Source organism: Homo sapiens, chromosome 2, assembly GCF_000001405.40.
Source record: "Homo sapiens chromosome 2, GRCh38.p14 Primary Assembly".
NCBI classification, from domain to species: domain Eukaryota; kingdom Metazoa; phylum Chordata; class Mammalia; order Primates; family Hominidae; genus Homo; species Homo sapiens.
The window spans coordinates 2288764-2301642 of NC_000002.12; the positions used below are offsets into that span (position 1 = coordinate 2288764).

The window sequence follows — 12879 nt, forward strand, 5'->3', positions numbered from 1 at the left end:
TACAATGAGCTACACTTTGGAATTTTATCAGACTAGAGCCACATACACATGTTCAGCTTGAACACCTCTTTGCTAGAGAACAATATAACCCATTCAATTCAGTCTCAGGAATGCCAGGCTTATATTCTTCTTCAAATCGATAGCTTCTTAACTCAAAGTTACTTAATAATAAAAGTTATTTTCTCCAAGATAATTATCCTGTTAAAAATGTTCTACCCTTCAATATAAGCCACAGGCTTGCATGTTAAGTAGCTTTCCTGCAGGCTTCTGCAGCTCATGATGTCAGAGGTAGGTCAAGATTCCTTATCACCAAACGGAGCCCACGATGACACTTGTCTGGGCAGACAGAATCCTCCACTAACAGCAGAGTAAGACTGAAGACAACAGAGGGTGATGCCTGTCCCTTAACCCTGAGAAAATCCCAGTAGGTGGCCCTGTCTGGCTAGGGTGGGAATACCCTCTGTTAATCATACTGCCAGATACGTTGAAGTTTTATTGCATGTTGGCCAAAAAGCTTTCTTTAAATGTACTCAAGCTTACCTATTTATAATTTTTAGGCTTTTATGATTTTACCCCATATTTCAAGCATACTAGTAGTATAGTGGTTCATACTCTTAATTAAAAACAATTTTTAATTTGCTGATTATCATTTTTTCAGGCCTGTCTAGTTTCATATAGTGAGCTAATTTTTACATATATCTTATAGAAAAGCTGGGCTTACATAAAAAATATCTGCAAATATGTAAGCATAAAGCAACAGCCTCTAGTAACAATAATGAAAAAACATAACAACCTGCAAATCGCTGTGTTCACTTGAACAGTCATCCTTCCATAAGACGGAAATAAGAAGAGCCCTTGTACCACTGCTTGATCTTCTGCAAACAAATGTTAACTCCCCCTCACTGGTACCACCCATGGAATAAAAACAGGCTATGTGGACTAGAACCAAAATCCTCTCTAACTGGGGTGAGAGCATGGCTGATACTTTAAAGCATTTGATATCTGAGACGTTAGGTGAGTTTCTTAGTATTATTTTAAGTGATTTAGATGTGGATCCAATTAATAGCCACAGTCATAAATCCCCAAACTCCAGTTCACCTGTGTCATGGCATAAACAGGGCTTCACTTCAGCACTGGCAGCAAGGGCAGGTTCCCAGGAGGCAGATCCCAGGAGATGGAAGAAGGAGAGGAGAGTATGCTGAGAGGAAATGTGCTCCCTGGGGAAGACCTCCCCATAGCAGGGCTGGGATCCCCAGTGGGAGTCTGGGTATTTATGTTCTGACACTGGCCTTGGCAACTCAGCATCGCAACGCTGCCACATGAGCTCATGATGTCAGCCACACAGCCACAAATTGCAGGACATGGGCAGAGAAGCAGTAGAGAAAGTTAGAATTTCTAGATTGAGGTCTAGAACCTTGTCTTGGAACTGTGCTCTGTATATCTGAGAGTCCCATGGTCACCCCCAACCTCTGATGGAGCAAACGTTTATCTGCAAGGAGAGGGAGCTGGGGAAGGCCCAGAGCCCTGGCTTCCACTTCCATCTGAGGAGCGAGGCCTTCGTCTGCTTTCGTTTTTTAAAAGGTTCTTTATTTGCGCAAGTCTGAAGTCGCTGGATGACCTCATCTCGAAGACTAGCGTGCTGTGTGCTTTATCACATGCCATATAATAGCAAGAACATGTTATACTCACACAGTTTGTATAATTAAAGGACTTACATTTTAAGGAAATACAACACTGGTGTGGGCATAAAGATAACAATGAAGAAAAAGAGTCATTAAAACTTAATTGCTCATCACATGTGCCAGCCAAGTTTAAGAACTACAGGTTAAAATGACAGCATTCTGTTAGCATCCATGCCCCCAGTCCACACATACACACACATGCTCTGACGTAGAGGCAGGAAAACAACATGGTTTAAAGATGTGGTTCCTGGACCTGGTTGCATATTGCAATTACCTGCGACCTTTGGAAAGGCACTGACCCCTGCCTGCAGAGACACTGATCCAATTAGTCTGGGGTGAGGCCCAGGCATCAGTATTTTTTTTAAGGTCCCCTGGTGATCCTGATGTGTGGCCAGGGCTAAGAAACACTGGCTCAAAAGAAATCCCCAGAACTAGCAAAAGAAAATCCAGATTTGAATTGCTATTCTGCTAGTTCTTAGCTGTATGAACTTCAAAACACAACCACTTCCTCCATTAGATAAAGAGGAAAAAGATAAAACATTGACAACACCAGCCCACTCACCTTCTAGGGCCATTATAAAAATCAATTTAGATTATGTAAGGGAAAGGCTAGGTAAAAAAAAAAAATGAAAGTCAGTATAAATTATGTTTTTACTTAAGGAATAACTCAGAGCAACATTAAATTCTCCTATGCTGAGAACCCTGAGACAAAGCACAGAAGCAGCCTAAGAAGCGAGAATGATGAAAAAAATCAGGAAAAAAGGGTTGTGATTCTGGGTTTTAGCTACAAAGCCAACGTACAGCCTTCCTGCCTCCTGACTATGAAACCAGTGATTTGTGATTTGAGCTTAAATCTCTTTATGATATAAAATGAAAATGTTCTGGGCTCAGGACAATTAGCTAGAGAAGCCCATGATTTTACAGGTTGGAGCTGGAACTGAAGCCCCATGCCTGCCCATGACTTCAGAAGAAGATTTAATCTACAGGCATTTACTCCTCGCGGAAATGGAAGAGGTGACTCTTGGGGATGGGAGGCAGGAGACTGGCCAACAGGAAAGTGTCCAGGTCTTTGTCCTGAAGAAGCTCATCACACAAACTGGAAGGTGAAAATCAAAAGCGACATATTTGCTAATGGGACAAACAAGAGGAAGCCGCTCAGTTCTAAGGAGACGCGGTGCGTGATGGGTTCTGAGTCCCGGCGCCGTGGCCTGTGTGGAAAGTCGGGTTCTGCACCGCGTACGCTGGGTGCGGTTGCAGGTGGACAGCAGCTTCCCTTGCCACGTGCAGGCGCCGAGCCAGCCTGGCTCCCCGACCCACGCACCCTGTGCCCCCAGGTGCCAGCTCTTGCATTACAGGAGCCCACATGACCGGGTCTGAAAAGAACCTAAAAGTCACTGTCTCACAGAGTATTTGATAATTTTTAGCATTTCTATTCACAGCCTAGCTTTCTCTGGAGCATCTCACGAGACGTCAGAGTGCGATTCTAAGAGTGCAGAGGAGCGCTCGACAGCCCGCAGGTGCAGGGCGGGGCGGGTGGCTGTGCCCGGGCTGAGAGGAGCGGGTGGGGCCCGACTGCCCATCCAGGGCGCTGCTCTCTGGGCCTGGGCCTCAGCTGCGTGGGCTCTGCTTCCCTCTGTTGGTGTGGAGCGGGAAGGAAGGAATCTTCCCAGGCAAAAGGGGCAGCGAGCAGGGCAGGTGAAGGCTCTACTATCCTCAGATGCAAGAATTCCTGCAGAGTGACTGGGGGCGGGCGCAGGGGCCTGCAGCTCTGGGGTCCGTGGCTCAGGAAAGACTGAAGGCTGCCCTGCTCAGCCTCTCCTGAAGCTGAGTCGGTGCCGCTCAGGCCAGCCTGCGGCCTCCTTGGTTTGGGATAGCAATTCTATTCCCAAACGTTACATGAAAACAAACCTGAAATTGGAGAAAAAGTCCTTGTGAAATGCACAAAAGACTTACGGTTGGCTATGGAAAGAACTGTTGGGAAAATTCCCCACTTCGATTTCCTTTGCTATTTTTTATTTTCTTGTGGATGTCAGGACTCCATATTGCCCTCAGCAGTGACACGGTTTCTGGACAGGACACTGCAAACCCAGAGGTGGTTCGTCAGCACTCGGGGACAGCCTCCCATCCCTGTTGGGGCTCAGCGCGGGGCCCTGCCGGGACAGGTGCACAGACATAGCCGTCTGTGTGGCCCTCAGGGTCCCAGCCTCCACAAGCCACATTGAGAACACTGTGCTCAAGTCACACAGAGAGCAAAGTTTGTATTTGTAAATTTAAAAAAGACGAAGTGGTTCTACATCCTGATATCACAAGCAAGTTTGCTTCCAAGGAATCAGACGTATTGGATAAACTGTATCTGACAAACTATTCTCCCTAATTTATTTTAACCCCAAGTCTGTACACAGAGCAATCAGAAAGACATTTGAGATAAGGAGAGTGGGATAGGAGAGGAACGGATCTGTGGAAATCGGTGAGACGGGGAACCAAGGCACGCTCTTTTCCCTGAAACACACTCTGCAAAAGAACATTTTCCTCTGTCTTGCATGTTTATGTTTCATTTGCAAGTTCTGCTTACAGAGAAAATCTGAAGTCATAGAGACAGGATCAAGAAGATAGAGGCTCTGGATCTGGGGCCAAGACAGCCACCCTGGAGGCATCTGGAGCCAGAGGGTCCCAGCTTAGCAGCTCGGGGAAGTAAAGCCTCAAAACTGTCGTTGACATCAGGTGCCACTGGCCTCATGGGGCCTTTACTACGGCAGCTGTGTCCATCTTCTATGTAATCCAAAGGGCTGAGGGATAAGAAAAAGAACAAGAACAGCACCGAGGAGGGAAAGAAAATGCCTGTGTATTCTTAGGGGAACCTGCCAAGTGCACTAAGGAAAAAGGAAGAGTGAGGGCTTCAGAGCTCCGTCCCCAGTGCCCAGGTACTACAGATAGAGAGAGGACCTCATTCCCCATTCCCCCACGCTGACTGTGCTCCTTGAGGACAGAGCGCCCTTGGTTAGAGGCAGATCTGCAGGAGCAGGGCGTGGAGGGTGATGGTGAGCACTGTTCCCACACAGGTGGAGCTGGGCTTCCCTCGGAGCTAAGGAGGTGGAACTTAGAAGAACGAAGGCTTCCAGGTGAGGGGCCTCAGGGGGTCCCCGGGGAACAAAACACACCCCTGAGGAAGTAGTAACTGGTATAAGATGGTGTGTCTGTGTCCCTTAGGTGCGCAGGGCCAAAGCTTCCGCCTGAGGCTGCCCTGGCCCTTCTGGGAAGGACCTGCCCCTCGGCCTGGGGCAGGAGGTGGACACCAACCCCCAGGTGCAAGACCGGCCCCCTCCCTCCTCCCGGCTCCTCTGGAGTCAGACGTTTTTGAAAATGCACAAAGCAGAAGGAAAGATGTGGGACGAGATCCTTGGAAGGAACTCAGGCTTGTTCATGCCCAGTTCCAAGAACGCCAGCCTGCTCCGTGCTTGGCGCGCCTCTGAGGGATGCTTCTGGATAGCATCAGCCATGGGAAGGCAACGGCCACCAGCACGGGGGGCAGGACAGGGCCCCCCGCTTTCAGTGGAATTGGATGGTCTTGCTTTAAAAAGTAGTGGGGTGAATACAGAGGAGAGTAAGGAGGAAGAGAAAAAAAATCTGGGTTCTAAAAGATATCTTCATCTATCAGTGTAAAATATTAAATTATGGTGACAGCTCAGACCCTGAGGAATGAGGAACATGAGAATGGCCGAGAGACAAGCATGGTTGGTCACAGGTGACGGTTAGCGACTCACGGGCGGTGCCCCGGTCACTTGACTCTGCTTAGAAAACAACTGGCCATCTGAGGGGAGCCCTGTGGTGAGGGGAGCCCCTGGCATCCTCTCAACTTATGCCAGGCCCCAAGCACAACAAAAGCCTGGCTGTCCTTGTTGCATATCTTAGGATGGTTTCAATTTAGAAAGAATGGGGGAAGAGAGTTGGCAAGGACTGAGATCAGATGAATTTTGACTTGAGCTCAGCACAGCATCACCCAGAAGCCGCGTCTGATGCCCGCGCCTGATGCAGTTCATCTGAGGCCAGGCAGCCCAGCAAGGCTCAGCTTAAGCCACTGAACACATGCTGGAGACTGCATTGCATTCGAGATATGAACGGAAGGAGGAAAGAGAGGGCAGACAGTGAAGTTGAAATTACCTCATTCTACACATGAGACCAAAACTGAGTTAAATCTGCTTCACTTTCTGCCTGTTCTTTTTACTGGGGAGGCTGAGGGTATCTAAGTCACATGTAACTAGGAATAAACATTCAGCCCATTATTAAAGTGTCAGCGGATGCTCATTTCACCATTTACCTTGTAGAAGAAATCAATTATTAAGTATCTGTTGAAAGCAATAGTGTGTGCAAAGACTTGGGCAGGGTATTGTAGAAGACATTATACTACATTATATTATACAATAGTCCCTGTCCGCAAGAAGCTAACATTCCGGGTGGAGAAGCAATCAATGTGCATAAATGAGATCAATAACGTGCAGTTAAAAGTGATGTTCTTTTTTTTTTAGGTGGTGATCTCCCCTTCAATCTAGGTATTCAGGCAGAGACCGGATCAGCAGGTGAACACCAGTCAAGATTTCCGGAGAATCCCTGAATTAGGAGAGATGCTGGATGGTGTGAAATCTATGATCCGCCTTTCCTGATCACAGTCTGTGATACTAAAGCGTGCTGAGGCTTCAGAGCAGATGTGATAGGAGCTCAGGAAAGAGGAAGCTGAGACAGAGGAGCCAGGATCAGAGCTCTGTAGCCCGAGTGTGATCTGATGGGAAGAGACAGATGAGGAAGGGCGTTCCAGGCAGAGGAAACTGGTATCACACTGCATTGAAGCCAGGGACAGGGACAAGGGCAATACACCTGGAACAGGAGGTCTCCTGAGAAACATTTCCTCTGCTGGGTGCTGTCCACTCAGTAAATTCTATGCTGTGAGGCCATAGAGCCAGACAGCTTTTTCTGCCACCCAGCTGTGGCAAGAGGTTCACCCTGAGCATCAGTGCTTTGCATTATGGGAGATGGAAAACCAACCCAAAGGGAATGTGGAGAGTGTGGGGGTGGGGGCAGAGGAGGTGCAGAGAAAGATAGAGAGAGAGAGAGAGAGACAGACAGACAGAGAGAGAGAGAGAGAGACAGACAGACAGAGAGAGAGACAGACAGAGAGAGAGAGAGAGACAGACAGACAGAGAGAGAGATAGAGAGACAGACAGACAGAGAGAGAGAGAGAGACAGACAGAGAGAGAGAGAGAGAGACAGACAGACAGAGAGAGAGATAGAGAGACAGACAGACAGAGAGAGAGAGACAGACAGACAGACAGAGAGAGAGATAGAGAGACAGACAGAGAGAGAGAGAGAGAGAGAGACAGAGGATGTAGACAGAGAGAGAGGGGACGGGAGGTAGCAGAGAGAGACAGAGGGAGAGAGGCAGAGGAATAAAAGCAGAGAAAGAGAGAGAATAATAAAGCTAGAGAGAGAGAGGTTGGGGGGGAGGAGAGAGAGGTAGAGAAAGAGAGAGAAGAATAAAGCCAGAGAGAGAGAGATTCCAAAGGCTGGCAACCCAAATACATACAATCAAGCAACCCAAGAGCGGAGTTACATTTTAAAAACTCAGTAGGATAAATATAGAAAATATAGACAATTTTATTCTATTTTTCAAGGAGGTGCCTATAAACCAAGCCAGAGCCAGTCAAAAGGAAACCCTGGGTGGTTGAGAAGCTTTGCTATAAAAGTCACCTGAGGTGCAGCTAAACTTCCTCCTGTCACTGCTCCTGAAACAAAAGCTATTTAAGAGGCAAGAGGAAAGAGTGCCTTTTAAAACAAGTGGAAGAAGAAATTGATTCCAAAGAGGCCAATTCTCTATTAAACAATGCTTGGCCTGTTTGGTAAAGTGTCACTAGTCCCATTTAGATCATTTATTTTTTTTTAAGAGAAAAAATGTGATTCACAATGACAACTATTTCCATTTTGAGGGTTTTTCCTTTTATTCAAGAAATTAAAAAATATAAACAAAAGCTTTGTAATTACTATCGAGATATTTTTGTGTATGGGCATGGTATATGCTTTTTATTTCCATCTTAGCATTTCAGCAGTGGAGCAGATGTTTTGTTTTTTTCTAGAAATGCTGTCTGGCTAATGTCATTAACTCCAGGAGAAGAGAGAGGGGGAGTGAGAGTGAGAAAGGGGCGTGTGGGACTCTGTCTGTGGTACCTCAGGCCCGGTGGGGACACAGAAAGGAGAGACACTTCAAGAACGGGTGCCACCTCCTGCTGCCCCAGGGCACCATGCGTCCCTCTAGTAAAGAGAAGCTGGTGGATGGTCTCGGCCTGGAGACACCATACAGTGCACTGCGTCAGGAGTAAGCCTTGCCTCTTTGTGGGCAGGTCATCACCAGGCCTCACCGGTGTGTGCAGGGCTGGCCAGCACCCCAGAGCCTCCTCATAGCAATGCCCCTGGTGCACAGAAAACAAATGATGCTCACTTTAGTCCCAGGGCAGTGCCAACAGCAGCTGGGCCAACACCCCCTTCCCAGGTTTCTCTGCAGGAAGCTGGAGGACCTTTCGGGGCCAATTGGAACCACCTGCCTTCCCAGGTTTCTCTGCAGGAAGCCAGAGGACCCTTCAGGGCAAACTGGAACCACCTGCAATGTCCCTGCTTCAAGGGAGGGCCAGCAACAACACAAGTATCAGGGGACCTCCCGCCTTTGCGACATAGAATGCACACAACCCTCACCCGTGGCGCCGCTCTGAGTCTCTGCTTCCAAGGCTTCTCAGTGAAGTCGTGACCCTCGGAGGTTTTGAAAATGATTTCTGATTTGAGTCATTTCTCCCTGCTCAGCTCAAGTAGGAAGCATCATGAAATTGCATTTGAACATTCCTAACCACAGGATGGCATGACAGGGGACCGTGTGTGGGGTGGATGGGACACCTGCACAGGGGCGTAAGCCAGGCCCATCCCAGGCCCACCAGGAGGAGGCCCTGGGGTTAGTGCTTTGAAACCTGGCAGAAACCTGCTCTCTACTACCAGTACACAAGATTCCCACCAAATACATGCTTTTCTGCAGACAGATCATGGCGTTCATACTTATTTCATACATAAAACCCCCAGAGACAGATTTTAAGATTCCTACCATTCAAATGCTTCATGCCTGTCTCCACTCTCCCCTTGGCCGTGCCAACAGTTGCATGTGCCACTCAGGATGCTCAAAGGCATTCACTCCAGAAGGTTCCAGGGACTGCTCAAGGAAGAACAAATGTGTCCTTTCTACAGCATGAAGCATTGCCCTCCTCCTTCTGCCCTCCCAGGGAGGGAGGACAGCCAGGAAAATAAAGGGAATGTCTTTGGGAGCCGTCTGAGGAAAGAAACAGGAGCCCCAAATTTTGGTAAAGCAAAACCACTCTGCTCTCTCCCTCTCTCCCACAAAAGGGGATATTGAGGATGCCTGAGCCCTTCATTCTTACTCACATCTGCTTCATTCTCTGCGTCCACGCCACTTAAAGTTACACAACGAGGACCTGAGAAGAAAGCTGGCTTCACAGCTGGGGTTAATTCTAGAAGGAAACTAGGAGAAGCAAACATCCACAAAATACCCTTAACTTGCTCAGCCCCTGGTGCCCTAACAAAGCTATGCTGTGAGGACCAGTTTGTTCTCTGATTAAGCCTGGCTTTTATGAAGCCTGGCTTTTATTTTTGGGCTGAAATAAACACAGAAACACTTGATTTGCAAACCACTGACACAAACACATTTCCCAGGAGCCTCAGTTGTTGGCCTCTGAGGCCCATATACGTGGAAGATTCTGGGAGGATTTGGATCTGACACTCAGGATCATATCCCTTCTGAAGAGACATGCTAGAAGTACAAAAACTTAAACAGTGAAAACTTATGTGATAAGAGATGCAATGAGAGACCATTCGATGAAGCTTAAAGTCTGAACAGTCTTCTGGTGTGGATCTGTCAGGGAAATATTCCAGCAGGAGGAATGTTTTAGTTTAACACATGGCTTTACAATAATAATCTACCAGATGCCATGAAGAAGCAGGCCACAACAGCACAAACTTTTATACATTTTCATTCAAAGTGAACTTTTCTCTAAAAAACATAAATACGTAATGTGATAAATAATACCTTGAAAAATAGATACCTTAGATTCTGTTATCCATAGTCACACACCTGAGTTCTGGGAGGAGTAAAATAAGATAATCTGTATTCAGGGGAACATGAGCTTCCACAAGTCCCTGTGCCACCAGCAGCTTCCTGGTCCCAATGTCAAGAAGCACAAGACACGGCATGTTCTCGTGGGAGGTGGCACCCTCACTGAAGTTAGCCAGAGCTGCCACACGTCCCGCAGTGCTCAGGAACAGTCCTCTCACTCTCTCCACGGTAACTCTGTGTTTATTTTTTTATTTTATTATTATTATTTTTTGAGACAGTGTCTCGCTGTGTCCCCAGGCTGGAGTGCAGTGGCACGATCTCGGCTCACTGCAACCTCTGCTTCCCAGGTTCAAGTGCTTCTCCTGCCTCAGCTTCCCAAGTAGCTGGGACTACAGGCGTGCACCACCACACCTGGCTAATTTTCTGTATTTTTAGTAGAGACAGGGTTTCACCATGTTAGCCAGGATGGTCTCGATCTCCTGACCTGGTGATCCATCCGCCTTGGCCTCCCAAAGTGCTGGGATTACAGGCGTGAGCCACCGAGCCCTGCCAACTCTGTGTTTATTAAACAGGGGCATGACTTGTTCATGAAACCAAAAGGCTTGGGTTCCTCTCCAGGGACTTGGCACTAAGAATTTCTCTAAGGGGGAGCACCCATCAATATGTGGAGATCCTGGCTCTACCTGACAGCAGCCTGTGCCATGATCTCCTCCTGGTGCCTAGCGGCCCATGTGAGCCGCCAGCAGGGACCCATGTCAGAGGTCACTGGAGAGCCCCATGGATGCCTGCGGGCTGGCAAGCCAGGAATCCAGTTCGAACTGGTGTGGGCAGGAGGCCATGCTTGTGATTTGGAAGCCTGAGTGTGCACCAGTTAGTTTGGGACGGTGATGTGTGAGGCAAGGGTGGGAGTTGGGGTTCTTGCTTGGAAAGGGAAATTTGCTCCTTCACTCAAGATACGCAACTAGAGGTTGCTGACATTCTTACAGCCTTTCTCAGTGCTTACTAAGTACGATACACTCCTGGATGTCTTTCTAGTGCAATCACAAGTATTCAGGACATTGCAAACCTCAAGCACCCGAACTGTTAATCACATGTTTTTCTTCAGCTCTGCTTAGTGCTGACTGATCCATCCTTAAAAATGACAGTGAGAGACTCTTACTCACAAAGGAGAGGAGAGTTTTATCCAAAATGATTGTTTGAAACATCCAGTCCCATTACAAACTTTTTCCATGTCATCATAATCTTTCACTTGTCAATCCCCAAATCTTACTTTGGCACTAGATCATCTTCCGGCAGCCTACTGATGTATTGTGTCCTTTTAATTAACTTTAAAGCAAAGGGAAAAAAAATCAATACCATTTGGTATATCAATGGCTTAGAAGTCATTCCCAAGCTGTTTAACCTGGCCTCAAGTTCGCTTATTATTATGAAACACTAGGATGGAGCAGTAAGGCTTTATATCAGGAAAAAACACAAAACAAGATTCCATAAACACATAAACTCAAAATTCTCCTGTGAAAATGTGTCTTCTTTGTGCCTAATGATGACTTATAAGTTACTGGAAGTAAAACTGATGTGTTCTAACCTAAAGACATTCAAATAAATATATGTTTATGAAAACACATATAATTGGATACATGTGAGTAGAGGCATTTGACTTCTGATTGCCTCTGGAGTTCCTTTTACTTACTATGGAGAAGATCGCATGCTCATGTAACCTAAATAACTTTAATATCTTTGTTTCATAGAAAACAGTGGAAGCAAAGCAGTATATTGTTTCTAATACTCAGCTTTCAGGCTTGTATAATCAGTTTTAGGTGATTCACAATTGTTCACAAACTGATCCTATCAAAGTCCAACAAACTGTGAACATGGCGAGAATCTCTCTCTTTACATCTCATTAGTGTGAGGCACAAATTTCTTGAGGTAATTTACATAGTCACATTCTCCCAGCTTGAACAATACTCCATAAATGAAGCACAGTTTTCCCAATGATAATAGTAACACTGAAGTATCGTTTTTCTCAGCAAGGTGATGCTTTAAAAGAACTTTGTCCCATGCGCATTTTGAGTTGTCTAACCTCTGGTGGTGTGGGAGGAGAGGGGAAGTGGACGTTCTCAAATCCACGCGATGATTCTTAGCGGATTCATAGAGTTGGCTGTGCAAGCTTTCTTTGATTCACACACTCACAGAGCCGCCTGGAGCTGGGCATCTCTCTTCACATCTTAGTGGACATCAGAGCAGAGATCAAGAAGGCTGTGTGCTCGTCTTCTACTCTACCAGGAAAACTAAGTCCTGATTTTTGCTGTGCCATAAAACGCCCACTCTCCTGCAGGAGCTACTGGTCACAGCAAGCACTCTTGGCTGTGGCCCATTCTCTGTTCCAATCCTCAGTAGACAACATGGAAGCCTACATTTACATGAATCCAGCGAGTGTTCTGTAAACCCAGACCTTTTGCTCTGTGCCAGCCTTGCACTCAGCAGACAACATGGAAGCCTACGTTCACATTAATCCAAAGAGTGTTCTGTAAACCCAGACCTTTCGCTCCGTGCCAGCCTTGCACTTTTCTCTTCGCCCTTGTGCAGCTCAGTGTTTCACCCTCCCCTACCTTCTCTCTTTTCTTTGTTTCCAAGACTCTCCCTGCCTCTGTCTCTGTCTTTTTTCCTCTCTCTGTGTTTCATTTCCTCTCTATATAAGAAAACTTTATTTGAAACAGACATGGTGAAAACTCTCTTTGCTCTCCTATATACCTTAGTTCACATACGTAGGTAGACACATTCATTTTTTCATCACTTTATTAGAAAGCATTCAACTCACCTTTTTCAGCCTTATTATGTGTCAGGCACTGCCCTCAGCATTTCGTTATAAGAGAAAATAAAACAAAAATGGAAGGATTGGTCAATATAGCCATTCTAAAAGTTTTCTTTAATTAAAAATTTAAATATGGGCCTGGCACAATGGCTCATGCTTGTAGTCTTAGCACTTGGGAGGCTGAGGCAGTAGGATCACTTGAGGCCAGGAGTTCGAGACCAGCCTGGGCA

The 12879-nt window shown here is 46.6% G+C and overlaps 1 protein-coding gene across 31 annotated transcripts in view, besides 2 other annotated features; it reads right to left on the reverse strand.

The window, feature by feature from the left end:
• Positions 1 to 12879, reverse strand: part of MYT1L (myelin transcription factor 1 like) — a 542163-nt gene that overhangs the window by 499651 nt on the left and 29633 nt on the right. The window lies entirely within an intron of this gene.
• Positions 3226 to 4014: an enhancer, noted in NCBI's record as "H3K4me1 hESC enhancer chr2:2295761-2296549 (GRCh37/hg19 assembly coordinates)". NCBI's record gives its function as "activates a minimal SCP1, AML or CMV promoter by ChIP-STARR-seq in naive H9 embryonic stem cells {active_cell/tissue: H9 hESC(naive)}" and the evidence as "EXISTENCE:reporter gene assay evidence [ECO:0000049][PMID:30033119]".
• Positions 5022 to 5521: an enhancer, noted in NCBI's record as "NANOG-H3K4me1 hESC enhancer chr2:2297557-2298056 (GRCh37/hg19 assembly coordinates)". NCBI's record gives its function as "activates a minimal SCP1, AML or CMV promoter by ChIP-STARR-seq in primed H9 embryonic stem cells {active_cell/tissue: H9 hESC(primed)}" and the evidence as "EXISTENCE:reporter gene assay evidence [ECO:0000049][PMID:30033119]".